Below are 18,189 nucleotides of genomic sequence, written 5' to 3'. Positions count from 1 at the left end.
TGCTCCAAAAACTGCATACAGAAGGAACATACCTCAAAATAATAAAGGCTATATGACAAAACCCACAGCTACCATTGTACTGAACATGGAAAAATTGAATGCCTTTCCTCTAAGATCTAGAACAAGACAAGGATGCTCACTTTTACTACTTTTATTCAAAATAATACTAGAAGTCATGGCCAAAGCACTTGGGCAAGATAAAGAAATAAAAGACATCCAGATTGGTTTGTGTTTGCGTGTATGATTGTTTTGTTTTGTTTTTGAGACAGGGTGTCACTCTGTTGCTCAGGCAGTAGTGCAGTGGTGCGATCACCTCTCGCTGCAGCCTTCACCTCCTGGGCTCAGGTGTTCCTCCCAACTTAGCTTCTGGACTAGTTGGGACTACAGGCATGTGCCACCACACCCAGCTAACTTTTTAATTTTTTTTTTTTTTTTTTTTTTTTTTTTGCAGAGATGAGGGTTTCCATATGTTGCCCAGGCTCCAAACTGGAAAGAAAAAAGTCAAATTAGCCTTGTTCAGGTTTAGGTTTTTGATTTAGGATTTCCTATATACAGACGACATGATCTTGTACTTAGGAAAACCTTAAGATTCTACCAAAAAACTGTTAGAACTGATAAACAAATTCCGTAAAGTTGTAGGATAAAAAATCAACACATAAAAATTATCAGCATTTATATATACCAGCAGTGAATAATCTGAAAAAATTCATGAATGTAATCCCATCTATAATAGCTACAAAGAATATAAAATACTTAGGAATCAATTTAATCAAAGAAGTGAAAGATCTATACAAAGAAAACTATAAAACACTGATGAAAGAAATTGTAGAGAACACCAAAAAAGGGAAAGAATTAAATATAAAAATAATTAATGCTCATGGATTGGAAGAATTAATATAGCTAAAATGATAATATTATCCAAAGCAATTTTACAGATTCAATGCAATCCCTATCAAAATACCATGGCATTTTCACAGATATAGAAAAAGCAATCCTAAAATTGATATGGAACCACAAAACACCCCAAATAGCCAAAGTAATCCTGAGCAAAAAGAACAATGCTGGAAGCATCACACTACCCAACTTTAAAATATACTGCAGAGCTATAGTAACCAAATCAGCATGATGCTGGGACAAAAAGAGACACATAGTACAATGGAACAGAATAGAAAGCCCAGATATGAATCTGCACATTTATAGCCAACTCATTTTTGACAAAGCCACCAAGAACATACAATGAGGAAAGGAGTCTCTTCAATGAAGGTGCTAGGAAAATTGGGTAACCATTTGTAGAAAAATGAAACTAGATCCCTATCTCTCACCATATATAAAAATCAAATCAAATGGATTACAGACTTAAATATAAGACCTGAAACTATAAAAGTACTAGAAGAAAACTTTGGGGAGATGCTCCAGGCCAAAGCAAAGACTTTTTGCATAAGATTTCAAAAGCAGAGGCAGCAAAAGCAAAACTTGGTAAATGAGATTACGTCAAGCTAAAGATTCTGCACAGCAAAGGAAACAACCCCAAAGAGAAGTTGGAGTCCATAGCATGGGAGAAATATGTGCAGAGTATCCCTTTGACAAGGGATTGATAACCAGAGTATGTAAGAAGCTCAAACAACTCAATAGTAAAAAAAAAAAAAAAAAAAAAATCTGATTTAACAATGAAAAAAATATCTGAATAGACACTTCTCAAAAGAAGACACATAAATGGCCATTTGATTTGTTACAAATCATGGAAGGAAGAATATTTTCCAGAAGAAATCTCTCTCCCTGACCACAAATTCTGTTTGGTTTAGGTTTTGTTTTGTTTTGTTTTGTTTTGAGACAGTCACCCACGCTGGAGTGCAGTGGCATGATCTTGGCTCACTGCAAACTCCGCCTCTTGGGCTCAGGTGATCCTCCCGCCCCAGCCTCCTTAGTAGCTGGGATTACAGGCACCTGCCATCAAGCCTGGCTAATTTTTGTTTTTTTAGTAGAGCTGAGGTTTTACCATATTGGCCAGGCTGGTCTTGAACTCCTGGCCTCAAGTGATTGGCCCATCTCGGCCTCCCAAAATGCTGGAATTACAGGTGTGAGCCACTGTGCCCAGCCTGGTTTAGGTTTTATTCAAGGTCACAATCGAGCACTTTTCAAATGTTCAATATGACTAATCATCAGAGAAATAAAAATCAAAACCACAATGAGATATCCTCTCACCCCAGTTAAAATGGCTGTTATCAAAAAGACAAGGATAATAGATGCTGACAAGGATCTAAAGAAAGGGAAACCCTTATACATTGTTGGCAGAAATGTAAATCGGTACAGCCACTCTGGAAAGTAATATGGAGGTTCCTGAAAAAACTAACAATAGAACCACTATGTGATTCAGTAATTCCAATACTGGGTATATATCCAAAAGAAAGGAAATCAATAAAATAAAGAGGTATCTGCACTCCCACGTTCATTGCAGCAGTATTCACAAGAGCCAAAATATGGAATCAACCAAAGTATCCATCAATGAATGACTGGATAAAGAAAATATGGTATATGTATGCAATTGAACATGAGTCATCCAATAAAAAAGAATGAAAAAAAAAAAAAAAAAAACTTGTTATCTGCAGCAACATGGATGGAACTGGTGGTTATTGTGTTAAGTGAAATAAGCCAAGCACAGAAAGACAAATATCACATCAATCGTACATGGGACCTAAAAAGTGGACTGCATAAAGATAGAGTAGATTGGTGGTTACTAGAGGCTAGGAAGGGTAAGGGGGTGGGAGGATGAATAGAGCCTGATTAATGGGTACAAATATACAGTTTCATAGAAGAAATAAGACCTTGTGTTTCATAGATCAACAGGGTGACCATAATTTACAATAATCTATTGTATATTTCAAAATAGTTAAAAGAATAATTTGAATGTTTCTAGCATTAAAAAGACAAATATTTAAGATTATATATACATATATATATCCCAATTACACTGATTTGTTCTTTACAAATTACATGAATGTATTACATTATCACATGTTACCTCAAAAAAATAAATATACCTCATTATTATTGCCTGGAAAGCAAATGTCAAAATACTGGACCCAAACTGGACCACAGTCTGAGCATTTTGTGATAAGATAAGTCTTTGTTTTGATAATGTAAAAGATGACTGATTCTCCATTATTCACAAGAATATTTTTTGAGACTCAGAAGTAATTATGAAAAAAAACCTTTCACACAAGGCAAGAAGAATGGATCTCCACAGGCCCAAATGGAACCAAACTCTGCCCTACAACCACCACCACCACTACCTTTCCTCCTCTGCCTGCACACTCACCCCCTACCACCTCTTCTACTGCCTTCACCAACTGCCTCCACTCACACTCCCAGACCTTCCCATCTCGGCCTACGCTACCTCCACCCCTACCTCCACCTTTCCATGTCAGAGTCCTACTCCTCTGCATCCACCAAAACAACCTCCACACTCTCCTGACCTCCCACACTGGCTTGGTCCCGACCACCTTCTTCTACCTCTACCTCTTTCAGCAGTCTCCATTCCACATTGTTTCCAATGTATTTACCTAACCTACCTTCCTTTACTTGCCTAAAGCTTCCTTTAGCAGCTTCCTTACAAAATAACAAGCTCCTTCTTTTTCTTTTGTTTATTTTCTCCTGCTCCTAACTTAGTGATTGCCATAATAACTGCATAGTTAAATCTAAACAAGTTTTCCTCTCCCTCTCCTCATCAGCTGACATGGAGAAGAGCATGGTTTCTCTGGCTATTAGCAGAAATACATGCTTTTTCATTGCCTCCTACTTACAACTTTGTGGATTTTGATTTTTGGTCATTCTCAGTCTCTTATCTAAAGACAAGTGCCAGGCACAGGTGAATTTACCATGGAGCCAATTAGCCTGAAGTTTCTGGGCCCTTCACATGCATGAGTGGGGCCATTGCAACATTTTATTTGCATTTTTTTTTTTTGGAAAGGACCTTTAAAATTGTAAAAGCTTCAGATCCCATATAACCTGGATCAGCTCCTGGAGGAGAGAGAGCTACAAAGATTTACTAGTAAAGCTTTGGTTTATCAGCAGTTTTCATGTATTTATTTTATTCTAATCCATTATAGGCATATATAAAGATGGGCTGGCTAAAAGCTTGTGGGGACATAGAAACATTTTCAGCAGGTATTTGAAGAGGTAGTTTATGGGACCTAGAGCAGATGGAAATATCTCTTTGCTGGTCAGCACACAATCAATAAGGACAAGTCACTCTGAAATGACCTCACTGTATTACTTGAATTCTAAAGTTTCTTTCTTATCTCAGGGCATTTTCACTTGTTCCTTCTGCCTCAAATGCTCTTCTCCCAGATCTCTGCAAGGCTGGCTCCTTCTTGACCTTCAGTTTTCAACTCCTATGTTACCCTTCGAGAGGCCCTCCCTGCAATTGTCTCCATGCTCAGTACCATTTGTTTTCTTTATACCACATACTCATATTAACATTTTTTTTGCAGATGTTTTATTTACTTTTTGAAAGTCTGCATCCCCCACTGAAATGTAAGCACAAGAGGGCAAAGACCTCAGCTGTCTTGTACCTTATGGTATTCCTAAGGCCTGGAATGTGCTTGGCTCCTAGAACAATTAGTACTTATGGAAAAAAGAAAAGAAGGAAGGATGGGTGAATAGGTTTGATGGACATGATTCAAATCCAGTAAAATATTTTCAGAGTCTATTATAATATTCTTAGCACAACACAGAGAAAATACAAATAGTAAAATTAATGCAAAAGTCAAACAATCATTTGTAAAGAAGATTACTGGTAAATCTAGGAGTCTTAGAACATTTTTGCACTAGAAGACTGGAAGGATTTAACGTGCTCCCTTCAATGATAGCAGTTCACTGTGGTAGTGAGAGGATTCCAGAAGGAGGCTTGGCCACCCAGGAAGAGGTGATGAAGTTCAGAAAAGTTCCCTAGGCAATTCCAGCATTCCAGTCTACACTCCCAAATCTAGTCCCAGTGGAAGATCTCTGCGTTTCTGGACAAAGATAAATTCTAAAAAGGTGTCCAGCACATGCCTTGTGTTGAAGTGGTTATATCAAGGGATCCCAGATGCCTGAGTTTTCACTGGCTACATTAGGGTTGCCTGGGAAACTAAATACAACAACAAACACATAGGCATTCCTGAGCCTTACCTGAGATTCACTAAGTCTCTGGGGTAGCCTGAAAAATTAGTACTCTAAAGACCTTTCCAGCATATTCTGAGATGCTACTACTAGACTTGAGGACCACTGTGTTGAATGATGGAACCAGAATTCAAGAAGACCTTAACAGGCTTGAGCAATGTGCCAAAAAAGACAAGATACATTTAGAATCTTTCTAAGGTATTGAAGAACCTGAGTTAATGAACAAAGATTTAAAATTTTCAGTGGAAGAATAGAAACACTTGTTCTGAAGGAAGGTGTGCGTGCGTGTGTGTGTGTGTGTGTGTGTGTGAAATATAGGATTTGTAAAACTGTGTCAAATATCTGTCTTTGGTCCACTCAGTTCGATCCCCATTTTTCACCCTGCTCCATGGCTGGAGGCTGATCTTTATGGATTTCATCAATGGTGTCCCTCACCCTCTGGTATCCAGTAGGCCAAGGAAGAGTCCCCTCAGGAGAGTGGAGGAAGAGAAAAGAGAGCACTCTGGGTACTTATTCCCTCAGCCCTCTCTATTGGAGGTCTGTCTTCAACTGAAAGGTCACAGTCCCTCTACATAAATCTCCTCCTCCAGAGAGTCCCTTTGTTAAACCTTTTCTTTTATTATTTTATTTTATTATTATCTTGTTTTTTGGAGACAGAGGCTCACTCTGTTGCCCAGGCTAGAGTGCAGTGGTACAATCTTGGTCACTGCAACCTCCACCTCCTGAGTTCAAGCAATTCACCTGCCTCAGCCTCCTGAGTAGCTGGGATTACAGGCACATGCCACCACACCCAGCTAATTTTTGTATTTTTGATAGAGACAAGGTTTCACCATGTTGGCCAGGCTGGTCTCGAACTCCTAACCTCAAGTGATCGACCCGCCTCAGCCTCCCAAAGTGCTGGGATTATAGGCATGACCCACCATATCCAGCCTGTTAAACCTTTTCTGATTTTTTTTCTCATTTAGATGTGTTGTTTTTGCTGAGACCACAATTGATGGTCTGATCTCATGGGGAGACGGGTTGAAGGTGCGTAGGATTACAGCTTCATAGCTGCTTGTAAAAAAGAGCAGCTATGCTGCTGCTCTCATTATGCTCTCACTTAACGAGAATGTGGCCTTCTTCTGTTGCTTTATTATGTGTCTAGAATAGGGGTGATAGTCCCATGGCTCTCCATACAAATCTTGTCTCATCAGGAATTTATGTCCATTTTATAAGAAACATTGATATCCTGGAAGGGCCAGAAGGGCAGACAGATGGCTGGTTAGATGTTCAAATTTCTGAGCTCATTCGTCTTGGTAAACTCTTTGACGTGCTGCAAGAGGCACCAGTGCATGGGGGCATAAGCAGGAACTCTGAGGGCCAGATGGCCTGGAATTAAGTCCCGGTTCTACCTACTTATCAGTTGTGCAACTTGACAAGTTATTTAACCTTTCTGAGTTCCTGATCTTTCTTAACTGTAAAGTAAAAAAATAATAATAATACCTTTCTCATAGGTAATGATGATTGAATGAGTTATCACCTATAAAGAGCATCCCTAGAACAAAATAAGTATGTTTTAAATAAATACAAATAAAAATTCCAATCCTCACTGTACAAATTTCAGAGTAAACCATTACCTTCAATAAATGACAAGTGCCTTATGTTATTTTTCTATAAATAGTAAGTTATTTTAAATGGCTATTTTCTGCAGATATTAATTTTAGTCTACAAAGAGCCATTAAAGTTGAATTATGGCATTAAAACAAAAGTTTGAGACACTGAATGACTTACTCCAATAGAAACTTTACTTTTTTTTTTTATTTTTTTGAGTCAGGGTCTCACTCTGTCACCCAGGTGGGAGTGCAGTGGCATGATCATGGCTCACTGCAGCCTCAATCTCCTGGCCTCAAGCGATCTTCCCATCTCATCTCTTATCTTTTCTAGAGCTGAGTTCTCTCTATGTTGCCCAGGCTGGTCTCAAACTCTTGGACTCAAGTGATCTACCCACCTTGGCTTCCCAAAGTGCTGGGATTATAGGCCTGAGCCACAACACCCAGCCAAAAACTTTAAAAATATATCTTAGAGGTTAAAATTCTAATATTTTATTTCTGTGCTAAGATTCAGAGAACATAATTTGAAAGACCCAATGCTAGCATTTTAATTATCCTTCCCATTCCTATCCTCTTGTCACAGATAATGATAGTGTGTTATCTGTTTCTATGATTGTAAGAATTTTGAATAAGACCTCAATCTTATCCAAAAAGCACAATAATTTCCAGTATGTATAAAGGGATTTTGTGTTAAAGTCCAGATTTCAAAAGCCATGAAGCATGATGTTGACAACCCTGACAATTTCTCATGGAAGTGGTTAAAAAAAAAAGGTTACGTTAAAAGAGTTTTTCTCTGAAGACTATTCTTTCTATTTCGTTAATACTTATTTAAAAATCTCAACAATATATTTTGTCTATATAAAAGAAAAGAAGACACCCTGGCATCATATTACAATGTTGCCAGAAATTAGTTATATAATTATCCAAATTTCATCAGCACAGCATTCTCTCTGCCACTTAAACTTCAACTTTACATGAGTTTGCTGGGCGCCGTGGTTCATCCCTGTAATCCCAGCACTTTGGGAGGCCGAGGCGGGCAGATCAGGAGGTCAGGAGTTTGAGACTAGCCTGGCCAACATAGTGAAACCTCATCTCTACTAAAAATACAAAAATTAGCCAGGCATGGTGGCACACGCACCTGTAGTCCCAGCTACTTGGGAGGCTGAGGCAGGAGAATCACTTGAACCTGTGAGGCGGAGGTTGTGGTGAGCTGAGATTGTGTGACTGCACTCCAGCCTAGGCAACAGATTGAGACTCTATCTCAGAAAAACAAAACAAAACAAAAAACTTCAACTTTAAATGTTCCTTCAGGATCACTTGGAATTTGGGTATACATGAAATGGAAGTGTTTGTATGGACTCTCATGCTCAAAGAAGAAAGATGGATAACTTTTAACAGGTTTTTTTGTGATGCAGGAGAAGGGAAGGAAAGAGAGATGTAGCTCTGGAGAGAAAAGGTCAAAGGAGCTGGGTAATGCTCAGGACTGGGCTTTTCACTCCGCCTGTTCCCAGGGCAGGTCTCCTTGCTTAGCTGAAAGTGAGTGTCACGGCTGTTCCTTCAGCTCATTTCCATTCACTGGAACAATGACTCTAAATTAGAAACTCTCAGCTGTGGGCAATTTCTGCAAAACCTCTAACAAGAACTCCCAGCAACTCCCTTCTCTCAAGCAAGTGAGGAAGGTTATATAAGTAATAGGGAGTTTGCCCACCCGGAACCAGGGGCACAGCCAGTTCTGAGAACTTTCTCTATTATGCTTCCTTTATTTCGTACCAGGTAGGTAAAGCCCTAGATTATTAACTTTTTGCTGGTTTGCTTGGTGGATTTTTTTTTTTTTTTTTTTTTTAAGAAACAGGGTCTCACTCTGTTGCTCAGGCTAGAGTGCAGTGGTACATTCATAGCTCACTGCAGTCTCGAACTCCTGGGCTGAAGTGATCCTCCCAGCTCAGCCTCCCAAGTAGCTGGGATTACAGGCATGTGCATGTGTCATCACACCCAGCTAATTTTTTTTTTTTAAGAGATGGGGGTCTTGTTATGTTGCCCAGACTAGTCTTGAACTCATAGCCTCAAGCGATCTTCCCACCTCATCCTCCCAAAGCACTGGATTACACGCCAGGTGTAAGCCACCACACCTGACTGACCCTTTGTTTTTTTAAATCGGGGACATATCAGAAGTAATTTAAAGCTATGTGGGAGGGATGATATTTATTCATGTATGTTTACTTTTTAAAAATTAATTGAAGTCCACTTAAAACTTTACAACGTTTACCAATATGCATCACAAAGCTTCTTAGAGAAAATCATGCTATGGGTCTGTATGGCAGATGCACCTAACAGCAATAACTCAAGCATACCCTGAGAAGAATCCAGGAGTGGTCAAGCTGGAGATTCACTCCTCATCTATGAAGAACATCTGAACCCCTGGCCTATCATTTGGAATGCAGACTATACAGGGATCAGGGGCCTTTTGTTTTGGGTTAAAGGAAGGTTGCTTGGTGAAGATTGCTAAGTGAACATGCTATATAATATGCATGCTTTTTACAAATGGTAGTGGTTTTCCTATCCAGCCTCCCATTCCGAGAATGCTCTGTATATAAGTCTTCTATAAACCCTATGTCTCATTCACTGGCTCCGGGTCTCTTACCGAGCCATCCCTGTTGGAATCAATAGGGGCCTGGCATGACAGTGTCTATATGTGTTTTCTGGTTGCTTCCTAAATTTTATTCTGAATAAGAAAATTTTCATAGTTCTACTAGAATAAGGACCTCATCTATCAATTCTGTGCCTTCAGTGCCTACAGTAGTGCCTGGGACTTGGTAGGTACTCCATACATTAAAAAAATATATTTTTAAGGATGGGGTCTCACTATGTTGCCCAGGCTGGCCTTGAATTCCTAGGCTCAAGTGATCCTCCTGCCTCAGCCTCCTGGGAAGCTAGGACTACAGATGTGAGCCACTGTGCCTGGCTTTTGTTTTTTTTTTTTTTTACTTAAAAAAATTGCCATAATTAAAAAAAAATTACTTAAAAAATGAATGAAAACATGGGAACAGGAGATAGACTTTTTTTTTTTTTTTTTTTTTTTTAAGACACGCTCTCCCTATGTTTCCCAGGCTGGCTTGAACTCCTGGCCTGAAGTGATCCTCTGGCGTCAGCCTGGCAAAGTGCTGGGATTACAGGCATGAGCCACTGTGCCCAGACAAAATGTTTAATACTGTTATTGAGTACCAGCTCTGAGAAGGTGTCATGGCAGGCATTTGACATGCACCATCTCAATCTCCCAACAATGCTAAAAGTTAGGTGCCTGTGACATACTAAATTTATAGATGAAATGCTAAAGTAAAGAGAAGGCAAGTAGCTTGCCTGAGACCTCATAGCTCAGAAATGGAAGAAGTCAAACCTGGATAGTTGAACTCCAGAGTCTACACTCAGAACACCACAGTTAATATACATGTTTTAACCTCTGCTTCCCATTTTTCCTTATGTAAGAACTCAACTGTGTTTAAACTGGTGAGAAATCATTCCACATTGACAACAAGGTTTGTGAAAGCAAGAAATGTAGTTATTTTCATTTATACATAAATTTACATTTTTAAAAAGTACGTATTGATTGTGACTTAATACCAATATACATTTGGCCTCTGCCCTGGTTCCTGACACAAAACTCATGTACATTTCTTTTTTTTTTTTTGAGACGGAGTCTCACTCTCTCACCCAGGCTGGAGTGCAGTGGCGCAATCTCGGCTCACTGCAAGCTCCGCCTCCCGGGTTCACACCATTCTCCTGCCTCAGCCTCATGAGTAGCTGGGACTACAGGCTCCCGCCACCACGCCCGGCTAATTTTTTTGTATTTTTAGTAGAGACGGGGTTTCACCGTGTTAGCCAGGATGGTCTCGATCTCCTGACCTCATGATCCGCCTGTGTCGGCCTCCCAAAGTGCTGGGATTACAGGCGTGAGATACCGCGCCCAGCAAACTCATGTAAATTTCTAAGTGATGGGGTGACAGGAGAATTTTTCTGTTCATGACAGAAGAGCTTCTGAAACTCTTGGAATTATCCGAGTGATAGGGGTGAGAAGAGCATCTTCTGTTACTCTTAATAAGCCCCTTTCAAGCATACCCGAGTTTACGTTAATAAGGTGACTCAGAGGATGGGAGCCCCTTGCCAGAGGAACCAACCATGTGACTAAAAGGTTGGAATTTTCAGCTCCACTCTCCCTCCTCCAGGATGGGGAGAGGGGTTGGAGATGAGTCCAGTCACCAGTGGCCAATGATGTCATCAATCACACCTATGTAATGGAACCCCCACAAAAACTCCAAATAAAGGGGTTCCAAGAGCTGCTAGGTTGGTGAACACATGGAGGTGCGGGGAGGGTGGCGAGCCCAGCGAGGACGTGGATTCCCCACGGCCCTTCCCACATACCCCGTTCTTTCATTTGGCTGTTTCTGAGTTGTGTGCTTTATAATCAACTGACAATGGTGAGTCAAGTGTCTTCCTGAGTCCTGTGAGCCATTCTAACAAATTATTGAACTTGAGGGAATCGTGAGAAACCTCTGATTTATAGCCTGTCAGTAAGAAGTATAGGGAGCCCAGGCTTATGATCACCATCTGAAGTGGAGCAGTCTGTGGGACTGATTCCTTAAACTGTGGGGTCTGTGCTAACTCCAGAGCCAGAACTGAATTAAATTATAGGACACCTAGTTGGTATGAGAATTGTAATGTGTAGAAAATCCGCACATTTGGTGTCAGAAGCGTTATGAGAGTAGAGAAATGTTTTCCTTTGCTGATAAATATAAAAAGTCAGCAATTAATTAGTTTCTCTCATTTTAAGGCCCTTCATAAACCTCCCTTGCTTTTCCCTTAAGAGGGCAAAGAATTAGAGCAAACCAAACAAACATATGCTTATAATGTAAGCAACAAATATGGCTGACTGCAGCTAAAGGAACGCTAGTGATTAAAAACAGGAAGCGTGCTCTTCAAGTACTTTTAGCCATAAAAATAATGTTGGTGTCATTTATTGCATATACTTCAAATTCAGTTTTGTCAACAAAATGGACACCTTCTAGTGAATTTGAGAAGATGTGGGTTGGGAATGTAACCCATATTATATGATTTTTCATGGTTGTTTCATGTAGACATCCTTCAGAGCATGGCCTCAGCTACCATGTGGCATCATGTGCATGCTTCATACAGGATGATGAGGACTTAGGACCTATGCTTTGGTATCAAGCACCTTTGAAACATTCCCCGTCCAGCAGGCAGTGGACTTGAGTTTCAATCTCAGCATTGATATTAACCAGCTATGTAATTTTTTGGCAAATCCCTTACCTACTACTTGCTTTATCTTCCTCTAAGTCAGAATAGTTGACCCTTAAACACCTTCCAGCACTAAGCATATCTTTCAAATCACAACCTTTTAAAGCTTTTATTTTTAGTGAATTCTAAATCCTTAATTGATGGTTTATTTATATCTCTAAAATCTTAAGAAAACTCAAAACTCTGTACAAGTTAGTCTTACAAATGAACAAAAACATCTAGGTAGATGACTCATCAATATTTCTGAGTGTTTGGTGACTTGACAAACGATATGAACCCGTGAGGATAGAATAATTCTACACTGACATTGGCATGCAGCCAAGCTGCCTCTGGAGCTGATGGGGTGTTGGGCATAAAAGGATGAAGTAGTAAAACCCCTGAGTTCCTGCAGCTGGTGGACAAGAAGATGCATGAATGTGTCTGTTCAGAGTTTAGTATGGCGTCCATGTTTCTGCTTAACCTGGAAAATCCAGTTTTTCTTTTGCACGCCAGTGGGTGCCATTGCAGAAATGCAGCACATCATCCTAAGAATGGAGTCAAATTAAAAGTCTCTGAGGACTCAGCCATGCCTTGGTTAACAAGTAAAACTGGTCACCAGCATTCTGCACTGTTGAATACATATAATGGTAAAATGTGGATACCTAAACAGAATTTTGATCAAGTGCAGAAGAAAAAAGCAATAGTTTTTGTCGTTGTTGTTTTTTACATATAGTAATAAGCTTCTGAAAACAGAAAGTGACATTCCAACATGGACCACTGAGGAGTAAACACCTGTAACATCTTTCAGTTCAATTCCATCAGGAGCAGATACTAACAAGCAGTTCAACCAGCATCTATTCCAACACCCTTCTAGCTTACTTTGATTGCTATACTATAGAAGACAAAAAGCTAAAACTACATTTCCCAGGTTCCCCAGGAACTAGCCTGTAATGAATGTGGAGCCACCAAGCCAACCCAAATGTGTGAATGTTGAAGGTGAAAGCAAGCAACACAAACTATTAGCTGCATGAAAGAATGGCTCCTTGGGAGAAAGCATGGCGGCAGAGTATCTGGTTCTCTTGAGGAGCTGTGCCAGAGTTTCTGGCCCCTGGACTTTAATGTCGTAAGTGACAATATGTGGGTAATAGCAGCAGTAGTGTTTCTGCTAGGACAGTCTAGTGTTGAGGCTGGGCATTTTTGAGGTGTCATCCCTGGCTGCATTGTTCCCAGATTAAACTACATAGAATGGATTCTGTAGCATGCAACCAAGAACTCTGATTACATGCTACAATCTTCTTTTTCTCTACTTCTTGAACTTTCACCTTCTGGCAATGATCAGCTGTAACAACATTTTTTCCCCTTTTCCTGTGATTGCAAGAAGCTCTTAGCGAAGACAATCTCACTTACGTACGGGATCCACACTCGATATGTTTTCAGGAAGTTGTAAATAGGCAGGAGAAGGCAAGATTATACTGAAATTAAAAATTTAAGTTGTATGACTGACAATACAAGAAATTGAACACTGGAAGTTTTTCTCCCACAATAATGCAAGGATGAACTGACAATAAGGTGGATGTATTTAGTTAAAACCCACATTCACTGGAATCACAGGAAACCCAATATAATTATCATCAATTTGGTAAGGCTATAGTGTCAGTTAATTTTATTTATTGAAGCATTCAAGACATTTCAAATACACTTTTCTAATTAGCCATTGCCTTTGGCTCCCACACCCCCTGCTTTTGCAGCCCACTATACAGGTGGCAAACACAAGATATAGCAAGCTAGAGCATTTTTTCCTCCTCAAAAAGGGAAAAAATATCATGTCAATTGGAAGAGTTGAAATCATGTTCAACACTCTGGGTTGGCTCTGATTTCAGCCTCCTGTGACACTCCACTCTCATTCCCACACATGCAGCTAATGTCTCTGGCATGACTATATTGAGTTTGACTTGTTCATATACTAAAACTGCTTGAGCACTCAAACATAATGCTTCCTTTTTTTTTTTTTGACGGAGTCTTGCTCTGTCACCAGGCTGGAGTGCAGTGATGCAATCTCGGCTCACTGCAACCTCTGCCTCCAGGGTTCAAGTGATTCTCCTGCCTCAGTCTCCTGAGTAGCTGGGACTACAGGCACGCACCACCATACCCAGCTAATTTTTTGTATTTTTTAGTAGAGACGGGGATTCACCATGTTGGCCAGGATGGTCTTGATCTCTTGACCTCATGATCCACCTGCCTCAGCCTCCTAAAGTGCTGGGATTACAGGTGTGAGCCACCGCACCTGGCCAGTGCTCCCTATTTTTTTAAAAACTGCTTCAGATATTTCTCAATTAACAAAAATGTTTAAATAATGCCCTAGCTATTAAAAAACAAACAAACAAACAAACAAACTCTGCATTTAGGCAAAAGTGTGAAGATGGCAACAGGACAGCCTGGGAAAAAGAAAAGTAATATCCATCAAGAGGCTACCTGTCCCAGGTGCCTTACTGATACAGATTTGTTATTTCATTTTCTCAATGACCATGTGAAGAGACAAATAACTTGCCTAAATTCATGGAGTAAGTATGCCACAGAGACAAGGCTGGAACCCAGTATTTCCTGTCTCCAAAGCCATTTCCATTAAACTCCACCAGAGAGGTCAGGAACATACTATATAAGTCCCTGCGAGCCAGGCCATTGATAATCCTATCCTGTATCTCTTTCTTTGAATCTGTTCCAATGAAACGCACCAAGAAATCTTGTTTAGAGATTATAATTTAAGGTACCAATTCGAATGCAAATACTGTTGTACAATAAACATAAAAAGGTCATATGAACGCAGTAGAGATGTTGTCATACTCTGTGGAGAAGGAAGATTGGTGAAGTACATTCTACGCTATACAAATCACAAATATCTGAATGACCAAGGTTTCTAGAGGATATAACAGCTCAAGAGCCCCATATGCAGAGAACTTTAGAAGTTAAGCCTTCTGTATGTATTCTGCCAATTTCCAATGGGGGAAATGTCATTTTCCTTTCCAAGGATGATGACTCATGCAGAATCAATGAACAGAGATAGAAACATGTAACAGCCTTTTAAAATCTGGTAATTTGATGATTAAGTCATGCCTTCAGAAAATTCTCTGGACTTCTCATTACAAAATAGCACCCTGGTGATTGGGTGCAGTGGATAAGTATTATGTATAACCACTATCTGAGGGCAGAGTTTTCTGAAACTAAGATCAGTCTGGGACAGTAAGGTGTTTCTTTTTCCTGGATTTGTTATTACAATAGCACCACAATATTATTTATATTATGGAAGGCTAAAAAGTATAAAGAAAGCATTTGAAAATGAGCATAATCTTAACCAGAGTTGTTAACTCCCATTTATCTTTGAGATGAGATTGAGAGAAAAGGGTAAAAAAACAAAACAAAACAAAAAACACAGGAGATCGTCCCCTGGTGAAAATGATTCTCTCTGAAAATGGCCATAAAAGACAAGCATTACGTAGTTTCAACCACCTGCCTGATGAGGAGAAGTGAATAAGAAAAAAAAAAATTGTGCCAATACCTTATACACAGAAAAGGAGATATTTAACCCAATCTTTAAATATCAGAACCTAAGGAGGCAAGGCAATCGGGAATAAAAACATACTGAGGGTTATTTATATTACAAATCTTATTAGATTTGTACCTTCCCTTTCAGCCCTTTCCATGTTTTTAATATGTTTTAATGATAGTAACTGTGACAAGAAATTGGGTGATAGAAAATAGAGCAGCATTTTCACTTTCATCTGTGTCTCTTCAGAGACTGCTCTCAGATTTCACAGTCCAGATCCTAGTGTTTTTTAAAGTAGGATAAAGAGACAACACCAACAGGATATTTGCTTGAGTCTCCCTGTTTCCCACTTGGACAGTGTCTTGGTGCAGACTAAAGAGCTACATATATAAGGGTGATTGTTTACTCTGCTTATCTATACAAAAGATCTTAGATAAATAAATGCTCTCATCTACCCTTTCCTAGTTCAAAATCGCATCATCTTATTCCTTTGATATTGTCTAGACTTCCTATATCTGTGGTATTTAACTCTACTTTCTTTCTTTTTTTTTATTTTTTATTTTTTATTTTTATTTTTTGAGGCAGAGTATTGCTCTGTCACCCAGGCTAGAGTGCAGTGGCATGATTTCGGCTCACAGCAACCTCCACCTTCCAGGTTCAAGCAATTCTTATGCCTCATCCTTCCCAGTAGCTGGGATTACAGACGTGTACCACCACGCCAGGCTAATTTCTGTATTTTTAGTAGAGACAATGTTTGGCCAGGCTTGGCCTCAAGTGATGCACCCGCCTCAGCCTCCCAAAGTGCTGGAATTACAGGCACAAGCCACCACACCCAGCCAACTCTATTTCCATATGGTATTATTTTTCTGTTTTTTAATATGCTTAACTTTTTTATGAAAAAGCAAGATTTTTGTTATAAGCTAACTTTCCAAAAACTAAAAATAGCCTTGGTCTAATTTAAAACACTTTTATAACAGCTGAAAATAGATACAATCTATAAGATAATTTGCTTATCGTGGTCTATATATGACCTCAAAGACCCAAAAAGGTTTGCTCGTAAACGGAAAATTAACTTTTTAATGACCACCAGTCATCATCTTTTTTCAGTCTGAGCACTGGTGAAAAAGTTGCAGAGAAATATAAGATGAATCATTTTCTACCTTTATGGAGGTTCTTCTCTTTCCCAACCCTCCACCCCCTCCCCGCCCCGCCGCCCCCCCCTCCCCCAACGCACCGCCAGCCTAGGAAACCCTGAGGCACAAGGCCTATAATTAAGAGTGGCCCTGGAGGCCCGTGCCGTCACCTATCTTAGATATTTCAACAAGGTAGACCACTGGAGTAAGTATGCAAGGAAAAGAAAAAGTACATTGCTTGAACTCACACCATGATATTTTGAAGGTAGCACTAACAAGATTTTCTCTAAGAGACTTTATAGAGAAAGTAAGAGAAACAGGGTAGTCAAGGAGATCACCGAAAATTTTGGCTTGAACTGCGGAAGAATAGAGTTGCTGTGACCTAAGAGGCAGGAAACTACAGAAGGTGTGCATGTATTTTTTGAAAGTAAGTGTTGTGATAAATTAGAAAGTCAGTTTTGGAGATGACACATTTTAGATGTTTACTAGAAATCCAAGTGGAGATACTGAGTAGGCAGCAGAATGTACAAGTTGGAAATTCAGCAGACAAGTCTGGGCTGGAGATACAAATTTGTAATTGATCAGTATACAAAGCCCGGAATCTAGCTGAGATAAGCAAGGATGATTGTTGATAGGTAAGGAGTTCAAGGACTGAACTTTAGGGCTCTTCAGTAATGAGTGGGGAGTGACACAACTGGGAACCAGCAAAAGAGATTGGGAAGAAACAGCCAGCGAGGTTGGAGGAATTCAAGTGAAGAAATTGTTTCATGTGGGAGGAGCGATCAACTGTGTCTGGAGAGAATTGACCGCTGGCAATTGAGAATGATGCACCCTGCTCTAACAATGCTGAAGAAAAGCTTTTAATCTCCAGCTCCTAACTCTGACTCAAAAGCAACAGCCTTTGTAGAAATATCCTGCTTATATTTGTAACACTTAGGAAGTAAGTTATTTTACTTTGATTGTATTGAAATTCTATTGATAATTCACATTTTAAAATAATGTTCCTGAACCATATGCTCAAAATGCCCCTAGGCTTTTAAAATCCCTACCAAATGAGGAAATTACTCAATAAAAGGAAATTATCTCACTGACTGTGTTATTAGATATGTAGTTCAGTGATTTTCTGGAAAGACAGATTGCATGGCCCAGATGGATAATTTTCTTAGTCTGGTACCATCCACATTGATAAAAATCAGTTCCAGTCACTGTATATCAACATTCGCCTTTCCTTGTGGATACCAGTGCCTTGTCAAGGGCTTCGGTAAAGCTGTAGATTCAATGGACATACTGCACCTTTAAAAGGTTAAGATCCAAAAAAGTTAATGAATCAAATTTCTGTCCAGCAGTATATTTTAGCAGCATCCAGAATCAGATAAGGGCAGACACCACTGTTTTTTAGATGTAACAATAAAATAATTTGGAATATAAAAGCAAACTTTCTGAGTTCTAGAATATTCTTTGCCTTGAATATTAGAAG

General features: G+C 39.6%; 1 protein-coding gene and 1 long non-coding RNA gene across 6 annotated transcripts in view; one reads left to right on the top strand and one right to left on the bottom strand.

Moving 5' to 3' along the window:
• Positions 1-18,189, bottom strand: part of MACROD2 (mono-ADP ribosylhydrolase 2) — a 2,057,682-nt gene that overhangs the window by 1,112,602 nt on the left and 926,891 nt on the right. The gene's annotated exons all lie outside the window — the stretch shown is intronic.
• Positions 11,078-18,189, top strand: part of MACROD2-AS1 (MACROD2 antisense RNA 1) — a 45,266-nt gene continuing 38,154 nt past the window's right edge. For all 3 annotated transcript variants that reach the window (NR_110318.1, NR_037841.3, NR_072988.2), the window contains exon 1: positions 11,078-11,221. This is a non-coding gene — a long non-coding RNA (MACROD2 antisense RNA 1). The remainder of the gene's footprint in view (positions 11,222-18,189) is intronic.

The sequence above is a fragment of the Homo sapiens genome, chromosome 20, assembly GCF_000001405.40.
Source record: "Homo sapiens chromosome 20, GRCh38.p14 Primary Assembly".
NCBI classification, from domain to species: domain Eukaryota; kingdom Metazoa; phylum Chordata; class Mammalia; order Primates; family Hominidae; genus Homo; species Homo sapiens.
The sequence above is the reverse complement of the archived record's forward strand: the minus strand, read 5'-3'. Positions and strand labels throughout refer to the sequence as shown.